The sequence below is a fragment of the Homo sapiens genome, chromosome 3, assembly GCF_000001405.40.
Source record: "Homo sapiens chromosome 3, GRCh38.p14 Primary Assembly".
NCBI classification, from domain to species: domain Eukaryota; kingdom Metazoa; phylum Chordata; class Mammalia; order Primates; family Hominidae; genus Homo; species Homo sapiens.
In genome coordinates this window covers 168,217,524-168,227,964 of record NC_000003.12, presented here as the reverse complement: position 1 = coordinate 168,227,964, position 10,441 = coordinate 168,217,524, and positions in this window count along the sequence as shown.

Genomic DNA, 10,441 nt, shown 5'->3' with positions numbered 1-10,441 from the left:
GCTATGCACTAGGACCTTTGAAAGCCATTTTGTTCATGTAAGATTGTAGAGATGATACATATGTATTGGAAGAGGTGACTGTGGCATAATTTGTTCTTATTAATTTCACAGGTTTGAAAAGATTTGTTGACATTTATGATCCAGTTCTACTCACCAGTATTTATCACCTTTGTCTGCAATAAGTATGCTTGCAATCACAGATACTTCATGTAGCATGCCTTGGATAGTTGTCTACTTCTCTCCTTTAAGATAATTTTAAGGCTTTTCAACTTTTAAAAACTGTTGATATTATTATAAGGAACCTAAGTTTTTGATGACAATAAAAGTTGGAAAGAGAAGACCCTCAAAAAATTAAAATTAAAACTACTATATGATTTAGCAATTCCACTACTGGGTGTATATCCAAAGGATGTAAAATGAGTATGTCAAAGAGATACCTACGCTCTGATGTTCATTGCAGCATTATTCACTATAGCCAAGACATGGAATCTATCTAAGTGGCCACCGACAAATGAATGAATTAAAAAAAGGTGGAACATATACACAATGGAATAGTATTTAGCTTTAAAAAAGAGGCAAAGAAGAGAGATCTCTACTTTGGCGTCAGAACGTTAAAAAATGCATCAAACAGTTATCAGTATTGTATTTAGTACACCAGAGTCTCTGCAGGATACCTAATATTCACCTAAGGAATTGAGTTGTAAGTTTTGTCACAATTAGAAATAGGCTTTCCCTATTGTAGGTTTACTTGGTTTTCAACATAGTTAACTTTCCGCTTTATAGGATAGCCCTGCATTGGGCACCAGCACCCAAAAGGTAAATAAAGAAATGCAGAAGCCTGGTGAAATGAAAAAGAACCAAGTGTAAAATTACTTTTCTCATCACAGTTCTTCCAAGGGTAGGGCCTGTTTCTATTCCTCATAGTTTTTACCTGGAAACTTAGCATTATGCTTATTAGAGATCAGAAAAGGAAGGTTTTCTCCTCAGGGCATGAACCAAAGATGCCTATTAAGCTTTAACTGTGAAATATTTTAAAAGAAGCTAATATTAGCATCAGCACTCTACGGTCACCAAAACTAATAAAATTATTCTGAGGATAAAAAGTAATACTGATCATGCTCCATAAAGTGGATAGTGTATCTATGTGACCTGACTGCTATAATTAAATAGTTACACAGACATGCACACTAATTGATTAATAATATAAGGCCCAGTTTTAATGGCATAAGTATCCTTATGCTAACTGAGCTTCCTGATATGTGTCTCAGGCATTTATTAGCATGAAGAAAGATATTGCCAACTATATAAGGATGAGAAAATAGGGCCACTGTAAATTCAGAATAAAGAATTAAGGTGTCTAGATCTGGCTTACTGCCAGCATCCTGTGAGACTTCTGACCAGCAGCAAGTCCTTTGACATACTTCTTTACCGTTCTTCCTCTTGTCCAAGGTGCCTTGCACAAAGTGTGCCTGTACCTTTATTTGCTTGAATATAATGTCAAATATAATAAAGTCCAAACTAAAAATTAGAAATCTTTGGTTCCTAATCTACCTTTTGCCTATAGCTGTGTGAGCCTAGAAAAATTATTTAATTTCTCTTTCCTTTAGTTTTCTCCTCTATACAGGTTGGACTAGATGAACTCTGAGGACCTTTCTAGTTCTAATATGAGATGAACTATCCTATGGAGGGGTACCTATTCAAGTAGACCTCTGCTCTATTTGCCTCCAAGCTTTCATTATTTTAACACTGTGGGTTTTTTCTTTTCTCCTTCTACTATGTGCTTTGGATGGAGCAGTCTCTACCCCTGGTGCCAGAGTGGGGTGTGTGGTCAATGCTGGCCCATGAGAGCATTGAATTTGTCTGGCCACAGTCACATGGAAACCATTGTCATATGATCCAGCTGAAGCCAATAAAATACAATGATAGCTTGGATTGCTGGTACAATCAGTGCTTAGGATGCTATGAGACTGGACATGGTGAGACTAACTTAGAAAGCCAATAAGCAGAAGGCTGAGCAAAGAGAGAGAAAAATCAAGTGTTGACATTACTTGATCACCTGGATCAAACTCACCCAGTGGCAATACAACCTGTAAACTTTTTCATTATGTGAACCAATGAGTTCTTTTGAGGTTTATGTCCATTTAGGTAAATTTTTGGTCAGTGGCAATGGAAAAAGTACTAACTGTTAATACCTGCAAATGTGCTACATTGTGTTTCAAAACCTTTTGTTACCTAAAAAATTTGGTTGTGACATAGGACATATCTAATGGATCACCTGCCTCATGCATCTGGTACTACAAAAACAAGGCCTCTATAAAATGGAAGAAAAGTTAGCCTTGAATTTGTGTTTTATTAATTCATTGAATATAAATTATCAATCCTTATCCAAAACTAAAGAAGAGAAAAGTCATATGATGCATCTCTACAATAGGCTAGTTCTCCAACCTGATCTGATAGAGTTTTTTTTTCTTTTTTTTTTTTTTTTAGACAGGGTCTTGTTCTCTCACTCAGGTTGGAGTGCAGTGGCACAATTTTAGCTCTCTGCAGCCTCAAACTCCTGGACTCGAGGGATCCTCCTGCCTCAGTCTCTCCAGTAATTGGGACTACAAATGTGGGCCACCATGTCCAGCTAATTTTTTTTTTTTTTTCAGAGATGAAGTCTTCCTTTGCTGCCCAGGCTGGTCTGGAATTCCTTGCTTCAAGCGATCCTCCCACCTCGACTTCCTAAAGAACTGGGATTACAGGCACAAGCCTGCCCCACTCTGCAACCCGGTGTAGAGACCGCTACATCAAAAGCACATAGTAGGAGGGAAGAAAAAACCCACAGAGTTACAATAATGAAAGTCTGGAGGCAAATAGAGTAGAAGTCTACTTGAATAGGTATCCCTCCGTAGGATAGTTCATCACATATTAGAACTAGAAAGGTCCTTGAAGTTTATATAGTGGCTGGGCTAATCTGTTAGATTTTCAAAGTCCACCAAGATCAGTTAAACAATTGCTGAGCTAAAGAAAAGAGCTTACAATTCATTGAGTATCTTTGACATCCCATGCAGTTATTGAAATAAATATTTGTATGCTACTTCATGTCTTTTTCCTGATGCCCTTCTCTGTTCCTCTTTCAGATGCAATTGAGCAAAATCCATTTTTTCAGCAAGATATATGCCTGTATTTCCCAATGCATACCACCTAGAGCACTAGTTTATGAGAAAATTCATGAACAGTTTTCTCACTGAGTCCAAAGGTCTGGGAGAACAAGTTTAAAATCTCTCTCTCTCCAGGAAATTTACATGAATATTAAGATATCAAATTCTCTGATTATTTCTTTTTCATATTATTTAATGCAGCATTTCCCAAACTATTTAGATAAAAGCCATTTCATGACCCCTTACAATACCTACAAATATATGAGAGAGTAGCATTCCACAGAACCTACTTTGGGAAATATTCATTTAGCTCATGGTCTCAAAACTCTTCAAAAAAAATTGTAAATATAAACAGAGCTCAGAATCAAGCACTTAAACTTTCCCTTTTATTGCACCTCTATCTTACTTGCCCACCTTCCAATTCCAGTAGAAGGTTGAGCCATATAAAGTTATCCATATTTGATGGTTTTGACCCACATCCCAACTCATCCCCTGCACTGGATGTTTTTCCTTTGCCTCTCCAAGTCCACTACTCTTATCTACCCTACTCTGTGTCTGTGAGGCTGAGATTCATAGTCTGAATCAGTGGAATTCCTTGCTCTCTAGCTTCAGGTTAGGGTTGCCCAGTGAGAGTCACTGGGATATGGGCAGGCAGGCGGGAGGGAGGTCCGATATCTCATGCCACAACTTTCGCTTTGCCTCAAGTTGCCTAGGGTTATATAAAAAGTTCACACTCTCAGCAGCCCTCTGTTTTCACAATACTTTCTCTAGTACAAGGTTTCTAAACCTTCACACTATTGACATCTTGAGCCGGATAGTTGTTCATTGTATGCATCTGTTTAGCAACATTCCTGGCCTCTCCGCACAAGGTGCCAACAAGATCCACTCAGTCAGGGCAATCCAAAATGTTTCCAGACATTGCCAGATGTCCCCCAAGGAGCAAAATCTCCTCCTACCCACCACCCCACCATTGAAAACAACTGACAGCAACTCCTTCCAGGTTCCAGGTTTATTACTAAGTGCCCCCCTTGGCGCCTTAGACTTAGGGTTAGTAACATGCCTCTCATTGCTACCACGGCAGTGTTTATCTATTCCTGGTTGGTTCCCTTTGTTTTGTAAATAGTCCTTTATTAAAATTCTTTTCAGTTCCCTCATTTGAATGTGCTATATATTTGCTGTAGGGACATTGACTGATATATGCTCCATTCTTCCCCAATCCCACTAAACTGTTGACTGGCTACCACTTAATAACTTGATCACTTTCTTTAAATCTTTACACAAGTCCTATTTATAAGAGAAATGGAGTATTAATTGAGAGTCCACTGCATGTCAAATATGCTGACTGGTATTTACATATTGCAGTAAACAGAAGTTGATTGCATCCTGCTCCATCCCAGCATCCATTTTCTCCTTCCAAAAAGCACCCTAATTTGGGTTCAAGTATCCACCACTCCCATTCCATACATAAAATATGCCCTTCAGGCAGAGCGCACCCCACTGCTAGCTTCAGAGGCTGATTGTTCTAAGGGTAATCCCATTGTCCTCGTAAGTGACTGGCTTGGGAGCCCAACCATGGACCACCTAGTGAAAGATGTTACTTAGGCCATAGACTTGGCTCACTAACGGGCATGCATTACAATTTGGTCAAGTGACCAAATTGGCATGAAGTTAGGTTTCATGGGAGTTCTGGGAAAGACATTTTCTCATTTCAAAAAGAAAGCCACCCCAAATGGCCTTTTTTCCTCTGAATTTTCTTTGTGCATTTTAAGTCCTAAAGCTCTTGTAGCCATGTCAGTACTTGTATGAGGAAGAAGCCAGCTCAGGCAGGAAGGCAAAATATAAAGAATCCCAAAGAAGGAGAGCCACCAATTCAACCATATCTGACCACTGACAAACATCTACACTTTCTCAATTTTGTTATCCAATGTATTTCTTCATTTTGAAGGAAATTTGAGTTGGGATTTCTACCACTTGTTACTAAAAGTTTTCTAGCTAAGACATTCATTCAATTGATTCAACAATTGCATATTTTGTGCTTACTAACAACTAGACTCTGCTTTAGGCATTGGAGCTGCTGCAATGACCCCAAAAGACCAAAAGTGACAAGCAGAGTTATGTGTTTAATTTTCAGATCATCTCTAAGAGCTAGATGTAAGTGTCAAATGCTGATAGAATTCTCAGCTGAGAGATATTAAGTGACTTGTTTAAAGAGACCCAAGTAGAAACTGTTGGAACCAGACTAGGCTGGTCTGATGACATGGCCTTTCTATTTCACTCCTCTCAATTAGAATCAGCTATATCAAATCTCCCATCTGTCACTTAATCTAGACCAGTGACCGGATAGACAAGACATAAATTTGGTAAAATTTGATAAGGAGGAGGCAGTTAGGTAGTCCAAGAGTCTGGAATAGTCTCCATGAGTTTAAGGGAGAACAACAATGGACTTGGAGTTGCCCTCCACTGATGACTTGCCCTTCTTTGGCTCTTGCTGATTTGCAGAGCCCTCAAAGTGTTGCCCATATTCTCCAACCTGTAGCCTCAGAGCAATCCTAATGGCTCTCAACTGAGCTAACTTCTGCTTTCTTTGTAGGAGCCTAGAGAACATCTGCATCCTTCTGTACATGTCCTGATCCCACGTTTACTCTATCCCTACATTCCAATTGGAGGCCAGTGTAAAGCTCTGTTTTCAGATTTCCCCTCGATGACTACCACTCTACCAGATGCCCTCCTGGGTTTGCAACCCAGAGAAAGGAAAGCACACACACCTGTCTGATCAGTTACCTCCCTTCATGTCTTAGCTCTTTCTTCCTCCCACTCACATAGGGTAGCACAGGCAGGATTTATACTTCTTCATGTTTTTCAGATGTCGTTCCTATTTTACAACCCTGACTCTGACCTTTTACTGGGACCATAGGATGGACTGGGTGCAGAGATAGAAGCCACTTGGTTAATAACATTCCTTATGAAGCATTCCAGAAATAGTGACCCTATTTCATTACAAATACCAGCACAATTACTAGGTGGAATTGTTTTGGAATCAAATAAAATTACATAAAAGCTGTTGCTAAGATGTAAAGAACCATACAAATGTAAGATATCATAGTGTTATGCAGTCACAAGGAAACAATCCATTTAGCCATATATTCTAATTTCAATATATCTTTGTACTGAAGTAAATTATAAAGTTAAATTAAAAATGCCAACTGCATACTATTACAATATGAAGCAAGATATCCATCAATAGATTATACTGTAAGTTGTTAGCAAATCTCAGACTCATCAAATAATACTTTCAGGTGAGGTAGCCTTACAGCTTCACAATCAGTGGATCTCAGCCCTAACTGTAAAAGAGAATCACCTGGGCAGGACTGGAATAATTACAGGTGTCCAGGCTGTACCTTAAAACCAAATAAATTATAATTAATTTTTGAGAGCAATAAAATTACATGAAAGAAACAGAAGAAGATAATAGTTATTGATATAAAATTAAAAATTTTAAAGTTGGAGCTTCTCTGGAACATCAGGACCTCAATATAGATGAGTAAACTAAAGTTAAGAAAAACTGAGACTATTCAGACAACCTATAATCATATTTTCAAAGCTAGAGAAATAAAAAGTGATTTTATTTAGATATCATTTTATTTTTAGAGAGAGAAATATGAAGATTTGCCAGATTTGTCCAAAGTCTTCTTCCACCTAAGACCCCTGAATTACACCAGGACTTTCAAATATAGGGATGGCATTTCCTTCCAGAATTCTCTGCCCTCTGAGTCAAGCATTTCAGCATCAGCACCTGCTTCTCTGCCCATTGCCCAAGTGATAGCACGACTTCAGAGAAATGCGAAGTACTTCTTACTCACACTTAAATTGGCCTAAAACACCAGCTTGATCAGAAACACAGATGCCTGAAATAGAAATAGTCCTGTCTCTCTGGTTCCCAGGGCCAGAAGACAAATGGGATGGGGGCCAGAGCCACAAAGGAGGTGCTGTTGGAGCCGGCATCCCAGCGGCAAAGTGAGTCATCACTGTCATTCAAGATGTGTCCAAAAGCAACCAGAGCTTAGGGGAAGAGGAGTTTTTTGGTGTGTGTGTGTGTGTGTGTGTGTATGTGTGTGTTTTCTGAGACTCTACAAAGATGGTGGTGACAGCAGCTGTGCTTCCTCCCCTTAGAAAGTCATTTTAGCATTAGATTTTCCCTAAGGAGGAAGCAGATGGAGAGAAGCTTGACTTGCATATATGTGGCTGCTGCTGGCATTCCTGCTGCTGCTCCTGACCCTGGATTTTTTGGAGAAATAGGCCTTTGGAGGAGGGAGGGAATAATTATTCAAGAGGCTCTTTTCATACCTGCTGAATTAAAGCCCCAAGGGCAAATTAATGTTAGGCGTTAACTGTATAGTCTCTGAAATTCTCCTAAAGATGGTAGCAATAGGCTATTATTTTTTGTAAAGTGATATTAACTCCTGATCTTTTAGTAAACATGGCAGGCACAATGGGTGACAGGCAAGGTAGCTACGCAGATGAATAGCACAGAATTCCCCAGAATGGTTATAGTCAAGTTCTTTAGCAGGACGGTGGATTGAATCCTAGGCTGTTTTTACATAGTCACCAACATATTTTCCTTTTGCACATAGTCTATTTCCCACCTTCACCCTACAGAGAAGCACCTGCTCCGTGCTGAGTATATTACCCAGAAGGGCAATGTAATTGGGTGAAAGCAAAGACATAAAAAAAAGAGTCTGCCTTTTTTTCTGACTTCACTTCCAAAGATTTAAGCCTTGAGGACATACTGAACTCCTATAATGGATAAAACATTTGCTTGAAAGATTCTCCTTTTCTGAAGCAGAGAGGAGAGATGAAAGGGGAGAGAATGAGAGCAGAGAGTTTAGTGAGAAAGAAAAGAGTGGGCCAAACCTGTTAAAGCCAGGCAAAATAAAAAACATTTTCAGGAAAGGGCAACCATGACATTGTTTAGGCACCTGGAAGCTGAAAGGGAGCTGAATTTTCATACTCAGACTACATACTCCCAAGATAATGCAAGCAGTTTCTCCTACTGGCAATTGCATCTGAAGAGAGTTTTCCTTTATGAGCAGTCAGCATTTTATCAGGTGACCACAAAGAAGTTGACATCTGTCCTGACGCAAAGACTTGGCTTCATCCTTTTTATGTACCTCATATGGACATACTTTTGTTACACCCCAAAGAATGAGAGTGGCCACTGGTACCTAGGAGGTCCTCACATCTACTGTGTATCGATAGTTGGGAGAACAAAACAAAAACTTGTCAAGATTCTCCCTGAGGGAGGAGACTGATAAACATATCCCATTACAGATGTTACAGAGGGAATGATATAAGCATAAATAGAGCCAAATAGGAAAGAAAAAGAAAGGGTCATTTATGTTTCTAGGACAAGAAAAGAAATTGTGTCTTTGAGTAGGTGACACTGGGCACCAGTTTAGAAAGATGACTGAGTAGAAGACTTCCAGGTGGAGGGTTCAACAAGGAAAGCATAGCATCCGGGGAAGCAGAAGAGCAAAAGTTGTTAAGACATAAAACTCAAAGAAAATGCAATATAGAAACAGTAATTAATCACATCAAATGCATAGGAATCTTTCTAAGAGTTTACTGGACAATGGAAGTGTTCATTAGAGTTAGCCATTAGGAGAAGATTGGTGATTCTGATCAGAGCAAAGTCAGTGGATGGTTAAGTTCCGAGATAGATTATGCTAAACGGAAGAGTGGACTAGAAGGGGAGAAGTGACAGCATACATGAAGAGCAGTGGTTTTCAAAAGTGTTCCCTCTGATCAGCAGCATCAGTATCACCTGGAAATTTGATAGAGATGCAAATTCATGCCCCCTCAACTCCCACTCAGATGTACTGAACCAGAAGATAAGGAATGGCGTCAGAAATCTGTGTTTCACAAGTCATCCAAATGACTTTGATGCTTGCTATAGTTTGAGAACCATTGCTGTAGACTGTTCTTGTGATGAACTTGAAATGTTTATTTAATAATACCAGTGAGGACTTTAAGCAAGGACTTTTAAGTCCAGGAAATTCCTAAGAACAGGTGACTAAGAGGTTGAGAGAACAGCTCCAGATCCAGATAAGGTAACTCAAAAGAATGTCAAGATTACAGACTTAAAATTTGTTACCTTAACTGAATGAATTTTGCACCTTTTTTGGAAACAAGTATTTGACCGTCTATATAAAGCCCTCTAGGTGGAGTGGAGGTAGAGGGGAAGTGAGAGGATAGGAAGAGAGAGAGAGAGAATGAAACCAACAAGCATGCATATTTTTGTTCTTTAGAGAGTTGATTTATTTGTGGAGTTGAAAAGTCTATCAGGCCTTTTCGTGGCCTTGAAAATGTCCCTAAAGACTTTTATTTCCCACTTAATGTCTTCTCCCACTCCCCAAGCTATCTACCAATGACAGTTTAACATCCCAGACACTTTGATATTCAATCCATTCTTAGAACCTGGCAAGAAGCCCTTCCCCTGGGCCCTGTGCTTTAGTGCCCCACTCTGGCCCTCCTCTGAACACATCCATGGGTAAAGGATTGACCTGCTTCTAGCATCATGAGCTGGGTACCTGAGATTCTACAGGTCCCTGCTCCAATGGCTTCAAGTTTGACTCAAACATCTGTACCACCTCTTCCTTGGGTCCCACCTCCCAAAGGCAGGGAGAGGAGTGGCCAGTGGGTGGCTGTTCACTCTTAGTATCGATTGAACTTATGCTTATACAGCCTGTTCACAACATGAATGTGAGAGTCCTGGGAAATAAAAGGAAACAACCAGTTATAAAAAGAGATGGGCAGCTAGCTGAAGAGCACAGGCATGGAGGCCAGGGGCCATGCGGCTGGCTCCTCCTCACAAGGAAAGCTGAGAATTATAATTCTAACTGTCCTTCTAGATCATAATGAAGGTATGTTTGTCAAAATAGGAAGACAGAACATATTTTAATCAATAATAAATTAATTTATAATTTGTAAACACTTAAATGGTTTGTTAATGGTTTCTTGATTCGCACTCTTGCCTCAGGCCCCACAAATGTTACCGGTAGGCCTGCTAACTAGTCATAAATATTGTGGTCATGATAAAAAATATTTTGTATCACAAAGTTAATATGTTGGCCTTCTTATTTATGAATAAACCTCTGGTGAATTTTCTAATTGTAAACCACTTCCTTGGCATTCAGTCAACAGAATTCCCTACACCTGTATTCTTGAGAACTCGATCCAAACCATAGAGACCACATCAAGTTGATGGTGCTCATGTGATTGATCTAAGTACCAGCTGACAT